Source organism: Homo sapiens, chromosome X, assembly GCF_000001405.40.
Source record: "Homo sapiens chromosome X, GRCh38.p14 Primary Assembly".
NCBI classification, from domain to species: Eukaryota; Metazoa; Chordata; class Mammalia; order Primates; family Hominidae; genus Homo; species Homo sapiens.
Genome location: NC_000023.11, coordinates 50,562,663 through 50,585,218, shown reverse-complemented (window position 1 = coordinate 50,585,218; position 22,556 = coordinate 50,562,663). Strand labels below are relative to the sequence as shown.

Genomic DNA, 22,556 nt, shown 5'->3' with positions numbered 1-22,556 from the left:
CTGTGGGCTTCTTGAGGGCAGAAACTAATTTATACCACTAACACTTAGCACAGTGCCCCAAGCTCATAGTAAACACCTCAGAAATACATGGTAGTAACAATTCACGAAGGCTTTGCTGTGGGCTTCATATTTCTGGTGATATCTTACACTGGCTTATCCTCCTCAATACAATCATTAAATGTTGGACTTTCTTAAAACTTGGTCCTAGGCCCCTCTTCTCTTCTTGCTGTATGCTCTTGCCCAACTCTCTTTCTTAATCATACATACCCATGGTTAGTTAATCTCCCATATAAAGCTGGCTCCCAAATTTATATCTCCAGTTCATATTTTTTCATAGCTCCAAAACTTTATATCTGGTTGGCTCAATGACACCCCAAAATCCAAATATTAATGTATCCAAAATTAAACATTTGATTTTCCCCTCCCGAACCTGATTCCCTCTAGTGTTCTTTATATCTCAGTGATTAATACTCCTCTCCAACCAACTAGGAAAGCTAGAAGTCCTAGAGTAATCCCAGACATCCTCCTCTTTCTCACCCCTTCCATATAGAATTGATCACCAAGTCCTATCAATTCTGTCTCCTAAATATGTCTCAAATCTATTCACTTATTTTTCCACAACTATTATCCTCTGAACTACATCATTAGCCTAACTATTCTTCTTATGCCATTTCTTGCTTTCTGTAGACTGTTCATGCTGTAGCCAGGGTGATCTTGCCAAAACCCAAATATGATTATATCACCCCTTCTCCTGTCTAGGTCATTTTGATAGGTTTCAAAGCCCTTTCCATTGCCTGTGAGGCTCTGCATGCCCATCTATGCCTAATGATGTACCAACATCAGCTTCAACCTCATTATCTGGGCAAACCTGCTTTTCAGATTCATTTATAGCTTTGGCTTTGATATTTAAAGACTGAATAGCCAAATATCTTCTTCAGCATTGAATTACTTAGCTTTTGCTGCAGCAGCCAATGACCCTCAGTTTTCAGTGGTTTGCAACAACAAACATTTTCTTTTCATCTCACATGAAGGCTAATGGCTAGCTACAACTTTGCTGGCCTTGGCTGGGTTCAGGTACCATCATGAATCTTCTGATTCAGGGACTGAAGATGAAAGATCTGCAACTCTCTTGGGTACATGTTTCTCCTTTTGGAAGTCAAAAGCTCAAGAGAGACAGAGCCAAACCATGAAAGGATATTTAAGTGGCTGCTCTGATGTAGGGTATATCATGCCCATTGTATTAGTTTTCTATTATAACATTACCACAAACTCAGTAGCTTAAAACAACACATATTTATTACCTCACAGTTTCTGTGGGTCAGAAGTCTGAGCATAACTTAACTGTGTCCTCTACTTAACAGTTTCACAAAGCTGCAGTCAAGGTGTCAGCCAGGCTGCAATCTCATCTGAAGGCTTGACTGTGGAAGAATCTGCTTCCAAGCTCACTCATATTGTTGGCAGATACATTTTCTTGTGGCCATAGAGCTGAGGGCACTGCTTTCTGACTATCAGCTGAAGACTACCTTCAGATCCTAAAGGCCACCCTCACCTCCTAGTGGCTGCCTGCAGTTCCTAGATGCTGCTCAGAGTTCCTAGAAGCCTTGCCACAGTTCCTTATAATATGGCAACATGGCTGCTTACTTCATCAAGCTAGTAAGGAGAGTCTCTAAAGTGAATCTGATAGTAAGACTAGATCATATAGAATGTAATATAATCACAAATTAGACATTTTATCACCTTTGCCATATTCTATCATTTAGAAGCATGTCACAGGGCCATCACACTCAAGGGGAGAGGATTGTACCAGGGCATGAATACTAGGAGGTGAGGAACATGGAGGCCATCCTAGAGTCTGCACATCACATCTACTTACATTCTATTGACTAAAGCAAGTCACTGACTAGCCAGTCCTAAGGACAATTGGACACTAAGGTATACTCTACCTATAGGGTGGGGACGAAATGAATAATTTTTAACAAATAATACAGTCTACCAAAACCATTATTTCTGACATTCTTAAACTTGTGCATGATCAATGATCAGGTGATCACCTAGGCTACTGCATAATAATGACAGTAATATGAATAATGGAAGTCATTTGGAGTTATTAATATTTTAATATTCACTTTAAAACATAGTTAAGCATTCTAGATAAAACTAGGGAGAAAATCTCTTATGTTCTATATATTTTAATTCTGTCAATCCGTTGAAAAATAAATGTGTATCTTTGAAAGAATAAAATACAATAATGCTGATTGTAAGAACTCTTAAATTTATCTCCATAAAACTTAACTTCCAAATAGTTAAATATGGAAGCAGATTGGTAGTTAATACAAATTATGAGAGCATACACTCACTAAATAACCTTAGGGAGAATATTATATCAATTTTGAGACAGTCTTTGAAAACTTTAAATAATAGAGGTTCAAGTATATTATAATTTTAAACTATACACTTGGTTGAGGTGTTAGCATTCACAATAGTAACCAAAATAACCTTTATGTACATATTAAATTTTAGTTAATCATTTCATGATTCCTTTAGGAAAAAATCTTATTTGGGAATTTTTCACATCTTATGAGGATGACTTAAAACCAGTGTCAATCCAAATTTTTCAAGGAAGAAAAATCTCCAAAATGGAAGTTAAGAGAATCTTTCCAAAGGAAGTAACAATTCAGTTAAAACCTGAAAGAGTTAGCTAGGCAAAAGTGAAGTGAAGAAGGAGAGGGAACAATCCGGGTAGAGGGAGTGTCATATGAGAGACCAAGAATGCTGAATACAAGTCAAAGGGGTTGAAGTGCTGAGGAGGTATATTCCTTTACTATGATGCCACAACTGAATGGCTTAAAATGACTCACATTTACTATCTCATAGTTTTTCACGTCAAGGCACAGCTTAGCTGGGTCCTCTGTAAGACTGCAATCAAGGTCTTGGTCAGGGCTGGGCTCTCATTTAGAGGCTTGACAGGGGAAGGATCCACTTCCAAGCTCACTCTAGTTCTGAGCAGTTCCTTTCCTTGTGGCTTTAAGACTTATGGCTGGCTGCTTTTTCCAAACAAGCAATGGAGAGAGAAAGACTCTAAAATCAGCTAGCAAGATGGAGTCATATATTGTAATCACAGGAGTGACATCCCATCACCTTTGCCATATTCTATTGTTTAGAATCAAGCCACACTTCCCACTTACACTCCAGGGGAGGGGATTATACAGGGGTGTGAACACCAGGAGGTGGGGATCATAAAGACCACCTGAAAAATTTTCCCCCACAGAGAGGCAAAGTGGTATAAGATATGTGGTAGAGGTTCACTTAATCTGCGGTTTAGCCAAATGATGCTTGGCTAGGTGTAGGGGTTCAGTCAGGATGGTGGGAGAAATTGTGAAATTATAGGAAATAAACACAAACCCTCTTGGAAGGCCTGGGGGTTTGCATGGTTTCAGTAGTGTTTGGCTGAAGGCAGCTGAATTCTCTTAAAAGCTTAGGGCATAGATACATAGGAATGTAGAGGAGTTTATCTAAATAACTTGTTTATTCATGTGGTCCTAAAACTAACCTTTGATCATTCAAGGGCAGGATGGCTCTCTCAGGGAGAAGGCTACCAGGTTAATTACCCTCTAATGGTGTTGACCCAAAGCCTTTGTCATTTAATGTGTGCTAAATAAATGCCAGTAGGGCCAGCAAGTCAGGGCTGCAGCTGCAACTCTTTACACCACCCTCCTTGGTGTCTATAAGTGGCCCAGACCCTCAGCCGGACTGACAGGCAAAATATCTGTGTCAGTATATGTTATTCATCCATCATTAAGTCAAGGTCTGCAGGACAAACCCCCACAGCTAGGTATCAAAATCAAGATTAAGCAAAAACTAAGCCCAAATCCAAAAATCCTCATTATATATTGAAATTCCAGTATACAGGCATAAATTTGAAAATATGTCAAAATATTAATCATAACAAATTTATTATTAAAATGTTAGTAGCCAATTTTTAAAAGTTTATTATTACAATCTGGGAACAAAATTCCCAAGTACTATCACACTGCCTACCACACTGTTGATCTTTCCTTCACAGCATTTTTACATCCACAACTCTATATTTACTTGTATGAATAGCTGATTAATATTTGAATCCTGTGCTAGACTGTAATCTCCAAGAGAGCAGGAGCCTGTGTCCAGTTTTGCTTATAGTAGTACTTTTGGTGGAATAGGATTTTTTGGCTCCCATATTCCCTTTGATCCTACCCATCCTCACTCAGGAGACTTTAGCATCATTAAATTGCATCAAAGTTATTCTATCAATGGTATTCAGGAAATGACAAGAGAAGGGTTTGGAACAAGAGAGTTAACTTTAAATTTGTTTAACAATTGTGAAAATTTGGAAATAACCTAAATGTCCAACAGTAAAAGAATTGGGTGTTTTTTTGTTTGTTTGTTTGTTTGAGGTGGGGTCTTACTCTGTGGCCCAGACTGGAGTACAGTGGCATAATCATAGCTCACTGCAGCTTCAAACTCCTGAGCTCAAGCGATCCTCCTGCCTCGGCTTCCCAATGTGTTAGGATTACAGGCATGAGGCACTGTGCCTGGCACTGGAATTGTTACATATACCATGGTACATTCAATCTATGCAGGGAGAATGGATGCCACTTCTTTCTTTATTTAGTGGTTACCTTGTCCAGGATAAAGAAAACAAGTGAGGCTGTTGCCCAAGCAGTACCACATGCATTTCCTAATAATAAGGTAGCAAAAAATTAATTCAAACATGTTTGTGTTCAAACTCTAATTCTACCAATCTTGGATGACCAAATGGAGGTCTACCTATCCTGAAAAAGATTTGTCTAAAGCAGTGGTTCTCAAAGTGTGGTCCTTGAAGCAACAATGGCAGCATCATCTGGGAATATGTTAGAAATACAAGTTTTTAAGTCCCAACTCAGACCTACTAAATCAGCAAATATGGGATTGGGGCCCAGCATTCTATTTTAACAAGCCCTCTAGCTGATTCTGATGTACACTCAAGTCGGTGACCCAAGACCCTTGGTTATTTTTGCCTCTGACCACAAGGTGGCAACCTTTGTCTAAAGTCCTATGAGTTGTCCAATGGTTACGTTAGGTGTAATCTTGTCTAGCCACTGAACTGTCCAGAGGCAGTAAGTAGTGATGTGATATGGGGATGTGAGGGAGAAGTGAGAGATGGGAGAGGAAGAAAAGAGATGAAAGGAAGAATGGGGACTGGAGGAGGCTTTATCTCTGCTTTGAACACAGCAAGTAAACTACAGTGAGGAGGTGGGACAATGTTAGGGGTGCTGGTTGTTTATCATCTAACAATTCAGCTCATTCTGGATATAAAACAATGTGAAGTAATGTTGGGGATTTTGTGTGCAGCCAATTTTATCTATGCTTTTTATCCTTGTAATCCCTAGACACCACCCAAAGGCAAGCACCTCCTCACACTATCACCTATCCTCTTCCTACTCTCATAATATAATCATGAATTCCTTCCCCAGTTATCTTCCATCACAGAATCCCCTCTTTTTAAACCTTTCCACAGTTTTCCCGGGTGCCCTGTTGCACAGTAAAATAAGCTCAGCCTATGAAAATATACAGAAATGTTGTCCCTCTTATTTGAACATTTCCTGCACATCTGTAATTGAGACCTGGCACTCCACTGAAGATTCTACTTCCCATACAGCCCTCTCCGATTAAAATTGTTAATTTTTTCATTCCCCATAAATTATAGGGTTTTGCCAAGAGGATAGAGGGGAGGAAAATACAAAGACAGAAGTCTTAAAGGAGGATAAACTTTTCTCAGCTCTGGTAATGGTATCCATGCAGACATGTCATCCAACACCTTAACTTCTCAGTTCTGTTGAATGCCTCAATTCTACTTCGCTTCAACCACTGTCACCCAGGACACATAGTGGATGTTTTCAACATTTAGAGGAAATCCACACTGTAAATCATTTTTGAATCACTTATATTTTTCTTCTTTCCTATTTTCTACAAAATAGGATGAATTTTCTTCTTCTGGTTTACAAGTTATAACTGCCATTTTGGTTCTTATTTTAGTTGCCCTTAACTAACAAATACCCATGTTAATTTAACCATATTAGTTTCTTAAATTTATCAGTATCTACATTTTTCTCTTAACATTACAAGTACTTGAAAATGTTCTCATGTTTTTTGAGTTCCACCACACCTTCCCCATCACTTTGATAATGTTTAAAAATATCTGTTCTGAGTTACTATGGATATACACTTTTTCTTCTTTTCTGCTCAGTATTTAATTATCAAGTCAGCAATAAACTATACTACCAGTGTATACTTGCCCTTACTCCCCATGTCTTTGCAGCATCTCCTGTATTTTTTTCCTTTCTAATTTGAAGACCTCCTCCAAAATTGTCTTCAATGAGGGTCTTTGTGTGACAAACCTTCTGAGATAGTGCATGCCACAGAATATATTTATTACTATGCTACATTTAAGTTAAAAAATGGGCTGGGCACAGGGGCTCATGCCTGTAATTCCAGCACTTTGGGAGGCCGAGGTGGGTGGATCACTTGAGGTCAGGGGTTCAATACCAGCTTGGCCAACATGGTGAAACCCTGTCTCTACTAAAAATACAAAAACTGGCCTGGCACGGTGGCTCACTCCTGTAATCCCAGCACTTTGGGAGGCTGAGGCAGGCGGATCATGAGGTCAGGAGATGGAGACCATCCTGGCTAACACGGTGAAACCCTGTTTCTACTAAAAATACAAAAAATTAGCTGGGCGTGGTGGCACGCACCGTAGTCCCAGCTACTCGAGAGGCTGAGGCAGGAGAATTGCTTGAACCTGGGAGGTGGAGGTGGCAATGAGTCGAGATCACGCCACTGTACTCTAGCCTGTGCAACAGAGCGAGACTCCGTCTCAAAAAATTTATAAAAATAAATAAATTAATTAATTTAAAAATGGCTGAATATAAAATTATAGGTTCAAAGTCATTTTAAGCATTACAGGTCCAGTCCTTTAAAATATTGTCTTGTATTCAATGTTGCTAAAAGTCTGTTGTCAATTTAATTCCTTTCTTTGTAGAGGACTTGATTTTTCTCTCTGGAAACTTTGAGAAGTTTATGTTTAAGTTCTGTGATTGTGTGTGTGCGTGTATGTGTGCATGCACTTTACCTTCTCTGTATTAGTCTATGTCAGCCTCATTGTGTTTGAAGAGTGAGGAAAGGAGAGCCCCAGGTAGCTCAGAACATGTTAATAATTCCCATTTGCTGCCACTCTATAAGCAACTGATATGATCAAGGCTTCATCTTAAAACTTGTTTGAAAGAAGCAGTGCTGGGGGGGTATCAGTGTCCCAGGTTGTAACTCATCAACTTTGGGGATTTGAAAAGTGTGGAGGAGTGAATGAACAATGGAGCAGGGGAGTCCCTATCTGTTTTCAACAGCCTCCCACTCAACCAAGCAGGGCTTTTTTGCTGCCCTGATATACTCTGATACACCCTCCATACACTGGTAACTATGGTTGGAGATATTTCTGCCGATTTCTGTAGTGAAGGGTAGATAATGTAGGTAGGCAATTGGAGGAGAGACAAGAACAAAACTTTTAAAGCTTTCCTTAAATTTATCCTCTCACTGCTGCTTCCAACTACCCTCTATTTCAGGCTGCAAAAGAAAACCACCCAGCTATGCAGATTGAAGCCACTACAAAGAGATGGCTTGTTTTCTCAGCTGGACCCTCAACATCACTCAGCCATCATTTTACTTGTCAGTTCCCTCTCCCATTCTTTCAGTGCCTATTAAAATCTCCACTTGTATTCCTTAAACCTCTCCAATTCCTCTTACTTTCAGCAATTGGCTGTTTATTTTGCACAACTTCAGAGGCACCCTCTCATATGTGAATAACAGTTCTAAAATAAAACATAGAATAGTGAGTATTACAAATCTAGTGTTATGCTAGACTGTAGCCCTGCAAGGGCTTTGAGTCTTACTTCAAAGGAAAATGAAGACAACAAAATGACAAAAAAGAAAATTATAGGCTAATCTCTATGTCCAGTGAAAATATTTCTTAGGAAATAAGTGGAAATCAAGACATTCTCAGACAAAGGAAAACTAAAAGAATCTGTCACCAATATACCTTTGCTATGGCTAAAGTAAGTTCTTGAAGCATGAAAAAAATGATAAAAGAACGAATTTGGGAACATCAGAAAAGAAGAAAGAACAATGGAAGAGTTAAAATATGGGTAAATGCAATAGACTTTCCTTCTCCACTTAAGTTTTCTAAATTACATTTGATAGTTTAAATAAAAATTATAATATTGTCTGATTGTGTTCTTAATGTATACAGAGGAAATATTTGAGAAAATTATAAATGGGGGAAGAATAGAAATTTAAGAGGATATGAGATTTCTATACCTCACTCAAACCGTTAAAATGTCTGTAGACATTGATAAGTTATTTATGTATAATGTAATGCCTACAACCACTAAAAATTTTATATGAAAAGATACACTCAAGAACACTACAGATGAATCAAAACCGATTTTTTAAAAATATTGAAGTGATCCAAAGGAAAAATAAAACAGAGAAATGAAAAGCAGAGGGAACAAACAGAACACACACACACAAACACACACACACACACACAAAATGGAAGACTTAAATCCAGACATATATAGTTACATTAAAATGTAAATGGTCTAGGGACTTTGATCCAGACAAGAGGACATAAACTCATCTCTTTCTGCTTCTCTTTGCTAAATATAACTATGACATAACACAAGAAGCAACCGTAGGAGGACTCTGAATGGTGGAAAGAGGAAGATGGACTGGCTAGGGACCCCAGTACTGGAAGAGCAACATAGCAGTTGTGTGTCTTACCACCCCTCACCCAGCAACAGAAGGCATTTAGGCCTGGAATCTCCTGACCCTGACATATCAGATAAAGGTTACTCAGGTAGGCTCATGCCTTCTCCAGATCAGTTGGGAGTCCTGCTAATTACTCCAGTTGGGCCCAGTGGCACTGGTGATCAAGTAGGAGCTCCAGTAATGATAAGTGACCAGAGAAAGTGCATTTCATTCTTATGGGCCAGAGAGTTTCTTTTCTCACCTAGAGACACCCAATGGCCCCAGTGGTACAAGCAGGGTGACCCCACCACAACAAGCTGTCCTGCCTGGAAAACATTTTTCTGTACTCTATGGATTGGAAACTCTATTCGCCCACCTAAAGACACTGGAAGGCCTAGCGGCACTGAAAGGGGGTGATTCCCCCCACAAAAAGTGACCAAATACAGGAATACAAGGCAGTGTTTCCCTTCTTATATAAAATGTCCAGGAAAAGACAATGAAAGTAGGTTTCCTGGGATTGAGGATTCATGGAACTGCGGGTAGGGGAAAATGTTCTAAAACTGGATTTGATGGTTTCATAACTATACATTTACTAGAAATTATTTAAATAGGTGAATTTCATGGAATGTAAATTATACCTCAATCAAACTTTTTTAAAATGACTCACAGCTAACTAGGAATAGAAGGAACCTCCTTAATCTAATACAGTATATCTACAACTAACATCATACTTAATATGCAAGATTGAATGCTTTTTCTTTAAGACTATGGAAAAGACAAGCATCTCTATTCTCACCACTCCTATTTAATATCATGCTGGAAATCTTACCTGGCGCAATAACACTAGAAAAATAAAAGGCATACAGAATATAAAAGAAGGAATAAAACTATATTTATACACAACAAAATTGTCTCTGTGGGAAATTCCATGGAATCTACAAAAGAACTATTAAAACTAATAAATGAGTTTATCAAGGTCTCTGAATAAAAGGTCAATATACAAAAATTAATTGCATTTCTGTATACCAGCAATGAACAATTAGAAATCGAAAGTTTTTTTTAAAAGTACAATTTTCAATTATACCAGAAAAAATGAAATAGGTAGAAAACTAATAAAAGTGTTCAAGATATGTATACTAAAAGCTATGAAACATATATGAAAGATATGACAAACTAAATAAATGGAGATATGAACCATGTTCATATGTTGGAAGACTCAATATTGTTAAGATATTAATTATCCCAAAATCGATCTATAAATTCAATGCAAACTCAATTAAAATCCCAGCAGGATTTTTTTTCTAGATATTAACGAGGTGATTCTTAAATTCATATTGAAAGGCAAAGGAACTAGGATATCCAAAATAATTTTCAAAAAGAATAAAGTTGGAGGACTCGTAGTATCTTATTTCAAGACTTACTATTAACTATATCAACACAGTGTGGTATTTGGAGGAATTACTCTATTGGATGTTAAGGCTTATTATCCTGCTATAAAAAATAAAGGTAATTATTGTATTGGCAGAAGGATAGACACATAGATCAAGTGAAAAAATAGAGGCCAAGAAGTAGTCCAACACAAATAGAGTCAACTGATTTTTGACAAAAATTCAAAGGAAACAAGAGAAAAGGTAGTCTTTCAATAAATGGTGCTGGAATATTTGGACATCCATATATTTTTAAAATGAACCCGAATTATTTTTACACAAAAATAAACTCAAAATGGTTCCTAAGGCTAAATTTAAAATGTAGAATTTATAATATTTTGAGAAGAAAAAACAGAATATCTTTGTGACCTTAGGTTAGGCCAAGAGTTCTTACATACCACACCGAAAGCACATGTTATAAAAGAAAAAATTTGATAAATTGGGCCTTACCAAAATTAAAAACTTCTTCCCTGTGAAAGACAATATTAAGAGAATGAAAAGACAGTATATATAAAATATTTGCAAAACTCATATTTGATAAAGGACTTGTATCCAAACATATAAAGAACTCTTAAAACTCATCAATAAGAAACAAATGACTCAATTTAAAAATGGACAAAAGATCTTAACAGACAAGTCATCATAGAAGATATACAGATGACAAGTAAGCATAAGAAAAGATGCTCAACATCATATGTCATCAGGGAATTTCAAATTAAAACGACAATGAGATTATTTATACAAAAACTCAAAATTGTTCACTGCACACCTTTTAGAATGGCTAAAATCCAGAACACTGACAGCACCAAATGCTAGCAAGGATGTGGAACAACAGGAATTCTCATTCGTTGCTGCTGGGAATGCAAAATGATACAGCTACTTTGGAAGACAGTTTGGTAGTTTCTTACAATGATAAAAATAGTCTTGCCATATGATCCAGCAATCATGTTCCTAGGTACTAGCCAACTGACTTGAAAATTTATGTCCACACAAAAACCTCAGTGCAAATGTTTATAGCAGCTTTATTCCTACTTACAAAAAACTGGAAGCAACCAAGATGTCCTTCAAGGCGAATGGATAAACAAACTGTAGTGCATTTACACTATGGAACATTATTTAGCAATTAAAAGGAATGAGATATCATGCAATAACATGGATGAATCTTAAATGCATATGCTAAGTTTAAAAAGCCAGTCAGAGAAAACTATATACTACACAGCATTTATATGACATTGTGGAAAAGGGAAAACTGTAGAGACTGAAAACAGATGGGTGGTTTCCAGGGATTTGGGGAGGAGAAAAGGTTAAGTGAATCACAGGGGATTTATGTACCATATGAATATATTATATATGGTACTGTACTGATGGATACATGACACTACCCATTTGACAAAATTCGTAGAACTTTACAACATAAAGAGTAAACTTAATGTATACAAATTTTAAAACTCAACTAGGAAGTTGGGGATCTTAGGTTGGAATGTAGACTGTAACAAAATAATATAACTGTATTACAAATATATGGCACAATTTAACCGAAGGGTTGGGGAAAAGGAAGTACTGACCTCAGTAACTTTGAATATGGCCGAAAAGTACAAAACTGAAGACCATGGGAACCATACATAAGCACTTTACCACAAGTTGTTTTTTTCACAGGGGCACAGGTTAACAATTCTGAAACCACTGTACATGTATACCAGGATTGAACAAATAAGTGGTTGGTGGCAAACAGGTTTCTCACTGTTAGAGTGAGATATTACAGATAAGCAAGAGAGAAAGGCTAGAATGAACCATGTAATATTGCTATTACTGTTGGAGACATCAGTATGAATTTATGTTTAGCTTAGCATAGAAACCGATATAGAAAGAATTGTGTGTATCCATGGCTAGTATACATACATGTATTTCCTAGCTCTGTGAGAGGGCCTAGAAACAATGACACTGTAGTAGCAACAGGCACACCTAGAACCCAGATATTGGTTTTTAATATCATTTTCCAATAAAAGGAACCAAGGCTCCTTGGAGAAATGGCTGATTCTAGGACTGGGACAGGAAAGACATAAGACAAGCCTGGAGCATCTTGTAGTTCCAGAAAATAAGGAAGTACTCAAAAAAGTCACAGTGATGGGGGCATGTTAAAGGGACATACATACCAACTGAAAGAGTTTTAAATGACCAAAGCTGGAACGATTTGAGCAACAAAATAAAGTAATATTGGTCTATAAGCCAAAGTATAAAATAAATATCCATAAGTCTATAGTGATATAAATTACCAAATAAACAAATGGGGGAAGACATCTTTTATGCATAAGAATTCAAAATAATTTCTGCAGATACTCCACCCCTAAGGAAATGGAACATCACTCTCCACTTAAGTATGGGCTGTGCATAGAGACTTCTTTCCAAAGAGTATGATATAAAAAGGAGGAAAAAAGAATAACTTTATAGTAGAGAAACCTGACAAACACTAACTTTAGCTAAGTAATCAAGGTTAACATCAACTGTGAAAGATCATGTTGACAGTATGTACTCTTGATATGATATTATGAGAATGGCACTTTACCTTTGTGGTCTTCTGTAGAAACCAGTAACTCTAGTGTAGTCATTAGAAAAATATTGGACAAATCGGCTGGGCGCGGTGGCTCATGCCTGTAATCCCAGCACTTTGGGAGGCCAAGACAGGCAGATCACAAGGTCAGGAGATCGAGACCATCCTGGCTAACACGGTGAAACCCTGTCTCTACTAAAAATACAAAAAATTAGCCGGGCGTGGTGGTGGGCGCCTGTAGTCCCAGCTACTTGGGAGGCTGAGGCAGGAGAATGGTGCAAACCTGGGAGGCGGAGCTTGCAGTGAGCAGAGGTTGTGCCACTGCACTCCAGCCTGGGTGACGGAGCGAGGCTCCATCTCAAAAAAAAAAAAAAACAAAAAAGATAACACTATACAACTATTAGAATGGCTAAAATTTTTTTTAAAAAGCTGACAATACCAAGTGCTGACAAGGATGCAGAGCAACTGGAATTCTTATAAATTGTTAGTGGGGATGAAAAATGGTACGGTAACTTTGAAAAACAATTTGGCAATTTCTTTTTTTTATTATTATACTTTAAGTTTTGGGATACATGTGCAGAAAGTGCAGGTTTGTTACATAGGTATACATGTGCCATGGTGGTTTGCTGCACCCATCAACCCATCATCTACATTAGGTATTTCTCCTGATGCTATTTCTCCCCTACCCCCCCATCCCCCGACAGGCCCTGGTGTGTGATGTTCCCCTCCCTGTGTCCATGTGTTCTCATTTTTCAACTCCCAGTTATGAGTGAGAACATGTGGTGTTTGGTTTTCTGTTCCTGTGTTAGTTTGCCTAGAATGATGGTTTCCAGCTTCATCCATGTCCCTGCAAAGGACATGAATTCATCCGTTTTTATGACTATATAGTATTCCATGGTGTATATGTGCCACACTTTCTTTATCCAGTCTAGATCCAAAATTTGTTCTCTTAACCTCCACCTCTTTTGCCTGCACACTGTTGAGAGCTCTTTCCTGTTTATTCTTATACTGCTGGTGTTCCCTGGAGTTTATCTTCAACCTCCTCTGCTTTTCTCACTCTACAAGTTCTCCTTAGATAATCTCCTCTACTCTCATTATGTAAAAGACCGTCTACATGCCAATGACTCCCAAATCCATACCTACCACCCTGACCTCTCTGCCAAGTTCAAGACTGTCATCATGGTCATGTGACCTGTGCAGTCTCACAGGGCCCCATGCCTAGAAGGACCTTGCACATGGTTTAATGTGCTGCTGTAGCCACCTTGAAATTTATTTATAATTTTTGAAAAAGTGGCCAAAATGCCACCTGTACCCCAATAACTTATGGAAAAATAAAATAAATGTAAATATAAAAAATAAAAATAAATCTTTAATCCATCTTGAGTTAATTTTTGTATATGGTGAAAGGTAGGGGTTCCAGTTTCATTCTTCTGCATATGGCTAGCCAGTTTCAAATAAAATTTTTTATTTACATGGCAGGGTGACATACTACTAATTTAATGTCCAAATACTTTGCTCTTTATTTTTTCAGTGAAATGGATTAATAAACAAAGGCACCAGGAGGTTTGGGGCAGGTCCTAGGTTGTAGCATATTTAACAAGCTCTTGGGTGATCGTGATACACAGTGAAGTTTCTTATAAGCTCATCATGGGGATGAGGCTGAGTTGCCAAGATAGAGCAGCGGGGAGTTGGTAAGTTGTACAGCTTCCCTCAGGGCAAGAAACAAACTAGAACCACCAGTTTTCTAGTTCTGCTTCTGTTCATAGAGAACACATTGGTGGTGACAGGCCTGGGATAGTGGTAGCTCTGTGAAGACTTGGTTATTAGGCAAGCCTGAAGTGCCCCAGTGAAAGTCTCCATTGCAGAACTCAGCAAAGAGGGAGTTTAGCAGGGAATCGCAAAGTTCACCTTTGAATGAATGGACCACACCAGCCTAGAAGAGGAGCAATGAGATTTTTGTCGCCACAGCCTGGTAACCAGGGCCCTTCCTCTTTTCTTCCCAGACTGCCTAAACCCCAAGATTTGGATATAATCAAAGGAAAATGAAAGAATCCCACAAAGAAATTGATATTGGACTTCTAGCCAACTCTGCTGAGTGAGAGCTCATATAGGATGTATTTGTTTTCTAATTGAATCCACATAGATTCTATTGCACTTTAAAAATGAATATACATGGCAGTTTATTTCTAATAATTGATAAATCTAATATATGGAGTTAAAAGCCAACATTGTTCTAGCTTTTAAATGCACTGATTCTGAAGCTGCACTAAGTCCTGCAATAAAACTTCAGGTTCCACACCTCAAAATTGCCCCGAAATGTAACTTTCAAAAATATGTATATACTAACAAAGCTTATGTTTTACAAATTTATGCCAACACTAGCATTTACCTAAAACAAAGCAAAGCCATAGTTCACAATAAAATACTATTTTCTCTATTTCATGAATCAGAGAATCGATTTTATTTTAATTAAGCACTTAAAATATAGATTAATTTTTAATTAAATTTTTATTTGAGATATAGATTCATATGGAATTGCAATAAATAATACAGAGCATGGAACCTTCATTCAGCTTCCCCCAGTGGGAAATAGTACAATATCACAGCCATGATATTGACATTGATACAATCCACTGATATTCAGATTTCTCTGGTATTACTTATACTCCTTTCTATGTATGTGTATGTATGTGTGTGTATTTAGCACTATACAATTTAATACATATGTAAGTTTGTTTATCCTCCACAATAGTCAAGATATAGAGCAGTTCCATCCCACAGGATCTCTCATTTTGCCCTTTTATAACCACATACATTTCCCTCTCCTGAACCAAAACTCTAAATCCTGACAACTACTAAATTGTTCTCAGGTTCAATGATTTTGTCATTTCAATAATTTCATATAAATGGAATCATACAGTACATAACCTTTTGAAATTGGTTTCTTTCACTCAGCATAATTACTTGGGTGTGTTTTTTCCCATTAATGTATTTTTGAGTTTGCATTTGGTTCTTTTTTATATAATTTCTATTTCTTTGCTGAAATTTTCATTTGTTAATTTATTTCTACCATGTTCATAATTGCCCATTGAGGCATTTTTATGCTGACTGCTTTAAAACTTTTGTCAGATAATTCCAACATATGATTCATCTCCATATTGGCATCATTTGGTTATCTTTTCTCGTTCAACTTATTTTCCTGGTTCTTGGTATGACAGGTGATTTTAAAATATGTTCTACAAAATATCCACATTTTTGTTATTGAGTTAGGAAAGTCTGAGAGTCCTATGTCAATCTTCTATTTTAGGAAGTCTCCTTGTTTAGGTTTAGCATGCAAGTCCTGGCCTACTCTTGTGTGCTGTGGTTCCAGTGACAGTTTAATTTTCAGAGCTTTTACTGTGCTTTCATCTGCTTGGTTTACGTGGTGCCTTTGAGGCTTTCCCTGGTCTATGCTGATTCGGCCTGTGGAGGCAGAAGGTGCTTCCCCAGGCTAGGTTATTATGATGCCTCTAGGTGGGAAAAGGGAGTCTCCAGGAAGAAGGGTTCCTGCAATTGGCCATATGTTGTGCAGGATCCACTCCCCCTACCCCAAGGGCAACCTGGCCTGTCTGTGTGGGGGAGGGTCTTCTCAGGCCCAAGGACACAAAGAAGCTTCCAGGCTGGGTCACTTGTTCTGAAGGGATTCCTCTTACAGGTGACCTCCTAACCACCAAGTACTCCAGGCCCACAGGAAAAAAAAGGTTTATTATCAGAATTTATAGTTGTATCTAGTGGGGAGGAGCAACAAGAAAGGAGTCTATGTATGTCATCTTACCTGAACTAGAAGACCTCTCTGTTCTCTTTTCTGCTGGTTAAGATGTCTTAGTATTGAACTAATTTCTTTCCCCTTCTAAATTGTGTAGGGCATTTAAAAATATATTGTTTTTGTTTTACATTTAAGAAACTTACCATCTCTAATTTCTATAGCCAACTGGATCATTCACCAATAACTTAACTGGAACAGTCACTGGTGTTTTATGCAATGTCATTACTTTAAAAAACCTGTTTCTTAAAGTACGACATAACTAGAGAAAAAAATGAACAAATCTTAGACTTACACACCAGTGAATTACCACAAAATGAACATACTGATAGAGTATTCTATTTGATTTAAAAAAGAATCTGGAGATCTGTTTCATAACAATTTGAATCTAATTAACACTATTTAACTGTATACTTTAAAATGATTAAGATGGTAAATTTTGTGTGATGTTGTATTTTTTTTACCACAATAAATAAAAAAAATAGAATATCAGGAGACAAAGAAGCTAAATTCTGGAAGACACCAATAATGCCTCCAGACTCTCAGGCTAGTAGAGGTCACTGGGGCAAATTTTCAGCATATAGGGCCCTATGTCTTCAGCTATTTTTTCTCTCCCAGAGTCAGGAAAACAGTTCTTGATGTTTTTTCATCTATGAAGAAATAATAAAGAAACGTGGAATCCCTTGTACCTTAAGCATTGTGGAGCCAAAGCATAGCTGTTCTAGTTGAAGTTAAGATAGCATCAGCAGCCCTGCCCTTTTCACTGGACTTTTCACTGCACAGTCTTCCTGTCATCAGGGCCCTTGTGCAAATTAAGTAAAATAAAATAGGCAAAAGGCCTGCTACATGGCAGATGTTTTTTAAAAGTTTATTGAATATAGAGATAAAATGAGAGAGTAATACAGATTGACTCATATTATAAACACACACTGCTGACAAGAGATGTGCTCTTTTTTTTTCTGCCAGGGAAGAACAGACAAGAAGTGGGACTTACTTTGTGTGCCAAGCACCATGAAAAATGATTTATAAATGAGATCTCATTTAACCTCCTACACTTAATGCTAAGAAAGGTATCTATTAATTTTCCACTTGACAGATGAGAAAACTGAAGCTAAGAAAGGTTAGGCAACTTGCCCACTGACACACAGTAAAAAAAAAAAAAAGTGCTAAAACTAGGATTTGAATATTAACCCTCTAGCCCAGATATAAAGTCAAGCCTGTCCAAAGAAAAGAATAAAGCTCAAACCCTTCTTCTTGGAGTGCAATAATCCAATTCAGGCAAATCTTTCTGGCCTTTTCTCTCCTCACTTCCCTGCCTTGTATGTTTTGCTCTAGTAATTGAATACTCCCTTCTTCACCCCTCCCCCAAGCCAACCATTGCATCTTTACACCCTGCTGCTTCTCACTTCTGTGCGTTGTTCCTACTGCCCTCATCTTGACATCATCTTTTCCTCCCTCTCCCTTTTACATGACCAGCCACCTTTTCTTGGTAATCTTCCTAAATCCCCACTGCTTCTGTCTCCATAACCTGCCCCCTCCATACATTCCCACTATACCCTGTGCTTATTTATACTGAATTGCCATTGTATATTTTCTTTTCTGTGAGATCCTTGAAGGCAAGAACCATTTCTTATTCTTTCCTCATCTGTCTATTGTGTCTAACATAATATCTGTCACATAATCATTTTCCAGTAAATGTTTATTGAATGAAAAAAATGAATGACTTCAGATAGTGTTTCTTCCTCTTCAGCCATTCATCTATCCCATTCTGAATTTTTGGAGCCATATTCTTATGTCAACTTATTATCATTTATTTCATATATTTCTTTAACTCAAGTCACTTTTCAATATTTTAAATCAATTTAGCATTGTTTAAGCAATGTTTGTGAAATCATAGGCTATATGTATTATAGATAGATGTATATTTCTAATATACATCAAGATGAATACATAACTTTGACATTTAAAATGCTCACATTTATCTCCTAAATCATTTTGTGTACAGCCAGTGGTACGCATACCATGGTTAAAGAAATAATGGCCTAATGTCACTGCTGTTGCTGCATTAAGCCTAGATCTGGTGAACAGAGGGTTCTCAACCCTGGCTACACATTATAATTATCTGGGGAGATTAATTTTTTTTTGCTAGACATTCTGATTTAATTGGTGCGGTGGGGCCAGAGCATTGATTTTTTTCAAGTTTGTCCAACGTATAGCTAAAGTTGAGAACTACTGAGTTCATTGGAGAATTAAATGAAAACATGTACAAAGCATTTGGTACACAATATATTCAAAAGAAATGTAAGCTGTTATTAATATTCTTATCATTTTATTAGGTTTTTTCATTGGTTACTGTTTCTAGTTTCCATTCCAGTAACCTATCCACATCCTGCCTTACTCTGGCAAGCCCACGCATCTCTGGCCCCAAAGACCTGGCCAGCTGTCTGAATCACGTATGCTGCTGATGGCTTTGAACATCATCCTTTGCCCTCCTAGTAGAACATCTGTGATGGGCCTCTGCCACTGGAACAACATGTATTCTACACACTCTGGTTGAAGGCACCCATGGCCAGGTTTGTGGGTGATTGTGAATAAGCCCCCATACCCTGCTTCTCTGTGGAACTTGAAATGCAGCGGGTGGCCATGGCAATCACACGTTGCCTCTCTCCCCCTCCCGCTTATCCAGGGACATCAGGTTACAAGAGAACAGGCTGTTCTTCTGTCTTAGTAATGGGGTGGAGGAAGGGGGAAAGGCCAGCTGTATGCATATGAGTCGCATATGAGCTGCATATGAACCTCAGGTGAATTTGTTGTTATGGAAGTTGTTTTGCTTTTTTTTTTTTTCATACCATCAGCAACTGAAGCTGATTATGAGCCTAAGCAAGGCTGGTAATGTGGCTACTTGCTAATGATCACCCTAAAAGCAATAGTTAATGTTTATTAAACACTATGCACTGTGTTAAAGTGCTTATATATGGATGATCTTATTTAATCTCCACAGCAACCCTTTGAGACAGGGTCTATTTTTATCATCTTTACTTTTCAGATACAAAAACTGGAGGCCCAGAGAGGTGAAGTGACCTGTCTCAAGGCAGCAGGAGGAGAAGCCCAAGAAATCTGGCTCCCAAGATTGTACTTTTCACCCGATCTCTAGATTTAGTCCTAGAGATACAAGAGACCTGAAAGATCACCCAATCCAACTCCCTTATGCTATCAATAGGCGAAACTGAGAGCCAGCTAGGGAAAGGAATGTTTTTCTGAGCCATGAGCATTTTTTAAGAACATTTGTTTAACAAAAAATTTTAAGCATCTACCAATGCCAGACCCTGTGCTAGGTGCTGGGGATATCCAGTGCTTTTTTTAAAAGACAAAAATCTTGCCCTCATGAAGCTTATATTGCAGAGGGAGAGAAAGACTATAAACAAATTAATGAAATAAATGTGGTGTATTAGATGTTGATGAGTACTATAAGAAAAATGAAATGAGGAAGAGGCATAAGGAGTATGGATAACTTTAATTTTAAATAGGGTAGTGAGGGAAGATCTCACTGAAAAGGGACATAATTTGAATTAAGACCTGAAGGAGGTAAGGGAGTAAATTATTTGAATGTTTTGGGGAAGATTTTTCCAGGCAGACATAACAGTGTGGCTGGAACAGAGTGAGCATGAGGAAAAGTCGTAGGATATGATGTTGTAGAGCTAACGAGGGAACAAACCATGCAGGCACTTGTAAGTCATTGTAAGGATTTTTTTTCATTTTGTTAAGTATTTATTGATCAGCCTTTTTGCAATAGACACAGTTCTAATTACTCAGGATACTGTGTTGAGTACTTGCATTTAAACTCCCAGATCTCATTTTTTTAAACCTACATACATCAACAGTACATAGCCATCATGCCAAAAACAGTTGATACATTAAAAGGAGACATTCTCCAGACCAATGGAGACAATTCAACAAAATGTATGAGTGAACAAGGAGTCCTAGCTCTCAATTTGTTGTTACCTATATGTGAAATATTGGAGATACCATTTAGCCTACCAAGGCCTTAACATTTAACTATATGCTCTTCATATTTATACTTATTTAAGATCTAACTAGCTGCTCTTTAAAGCTTGTAACAAACAGAAATTTAACTAGATGATTTTTCAGGCTTATTTCAAGTAAAAAGAAACTTAAAGTTTTTCTTTTAATCTCTCAAATCAGTGGTTTTCAAAGTGTGGTCCCCTACCAGAAGCCTAGAAATTTGTTAAAATGCAAATTTTAGACCTCACCCTAGACATACTGAACCACATACCCTGGGGCAGGGAGTGTAGCAATCTTTGTTTTAACAAGTTCTGATGGGTACTAGAGTTTCCCAACCACCTCCTGGACATATATGATATATTTAATAGTAAATATATGTATGGATAACTTTTCTTTTTTATTTTTCCATAAGTTATTGGGGTACACAGGGTATTTGGTTACATGAGTAAGTCTTTTTTTTTTTTTTTTTTTTTTTTTTTTGAGATGGAATCTTACTCTGTCACCCAGGCTGGAGTGCAAGTGGTGCGATCTTGGCTCACTGCAACCTCCAACTCCCAGGTTCAAGTGATTCTCCTGCCTTAGCCTCCCAAGTAGCTGGGATTACAGGTGCCCACAACCATGCCCAGCTAATTTTTTAAAAATATTTTTAGTAGAGAGAGGGTTTCACCAAGTTGGCCAGGCTGCTCTTGAACTCCTGAGCTCAGGTGATCTGGCCTCCTCGGCCTCCCAAAGTGCTGGGATTACAGGTGTGAGCCACCACGCCTGGCCGAGTAAGTTCTTCAGTGGGATTTGTGAGATTTTGGTGCACCCATTACCCATATATACACTGCACCATATTTGTAGTCTTTCATCCCTCACCCCCTTCCCACTCTTCCCCCCAAGTCCCCAAAGTCCATTGTATCATTCTTATGCCTTTGTGTCGTCATAGCTCAGCTCCCACATATCAGTAAGAACATACAAGTTTAGTTTTACATTTCTGAGTTACATCACTTAGAATAATAGTCTTCAATCTCATCCAGGTCACTGAAAATGCTGTTAATTCATTCCTTTTTACGGCTGCATAGTATTCCATTGTGTGTATATATATATATATATCACAGTTTCTTTATCCACTCGTTGATTGATGGGCATTTGGATTGGTTCCACGATTCTGCAGTTGTGAATTGTGCTGCTATAAACATGCATGTGCAAGTATCTTTTTCAAATAATGACTTCTTTTCCTCTGGGTAGATACCCAGTAGTGGGATTGATGGATCAAATGGTAGTTCTACTTTTAGTTCTTTAAGAAAACTCCACACTCTTTTCCATAGTGGCTGTACTAGCTTATATTCCCACCAGCAGTGTAGAAGTGTTCCCTGTTCACCCATCCACACCAACATCTACTGTCTTTTGATTTTTTGATTATGGCCATACTTGCAGGAGTAAGGTGGTATCCCATTGTGGTTTTGATTTGCATTTCCCTGATAGTGATGTTGAGCATTTTTTCATATGTTTGTTCACCATTTGTATATCTTCTTTTGAGAGTTGTCTATTCATGTCCTTAGCCCACTTTTTGATGGGATTGTTTGTTTTTTTCTTACTGATTTGTTTGAGTTCATTGTAGATTCTGGATATTAGTCCTCTGTCAGATGTATAGATGGTAAAGATTTTCTCCCACTCTGTGGGTTGTCTGTTTACTCTGCTGACTGTTCCATTTGCCATGTAAAAGCTCTTCAGTTTAATTAGGTCCCAGATATTTATCTTCATTTTTATTGCATTTGCTTTTGGGGTCTTGATCCTGAAATCCTTGCCGAAGCCAATGTCTAGAAGGGTTTTTCTAATGTTATCTTCTAGAATTTTTGTAGTTTCAGGTCTTAGGTTTAAGATCTTCATCCATCTTGAGTTGATTTTTGTATAAGGTGAGAGATGAGGTTCCAGTTTCATTCTCTTACATATGGCT

The 22,556-nt window shown here is 37.7% G+C and overlaps 1 protein-coding gene across 3 annotated transcripts in view, besides 1 other annotated feature; it reads left to right on the top strand.

The window, feature by feature from the left end:
- SHROOM4 (shroom family member 4) overlaps window positions 1-9,685 on the top strand; it is a 238,661-nt gene extending 228,976 nt beyond the window's left edge. For all 3 annotated transcript variants that reach the window (XR_007068197.1, XR_007068196.1, XR_001755718.3), the window contains one exon: window positions 7,635-9,685. The gene's annotated coding sequence lies outside the window, so the exon portion shown is untranslated. The remainder of the gene's footprint in view (window positions 1-7,634) is intronic.
- Window positions 3,070-3,840: an enhancer, noted in NCBI's record as "OCT4-NANOG hESC enhancer chrX:50324379-50325149 (GRCh37/hg19 assembly coordinates)". NCBI's record gives its function as "activates a minimal SCP1, AML or CMV promoter by ChIP-STARR-seq in primed H9 embryonic stem cells {active_cell/tissue: H9 hESC(primed)}" and the evidence as "EXISTENCE:reporter gene assay evidence [ECO:0000049][PMID:30033119]".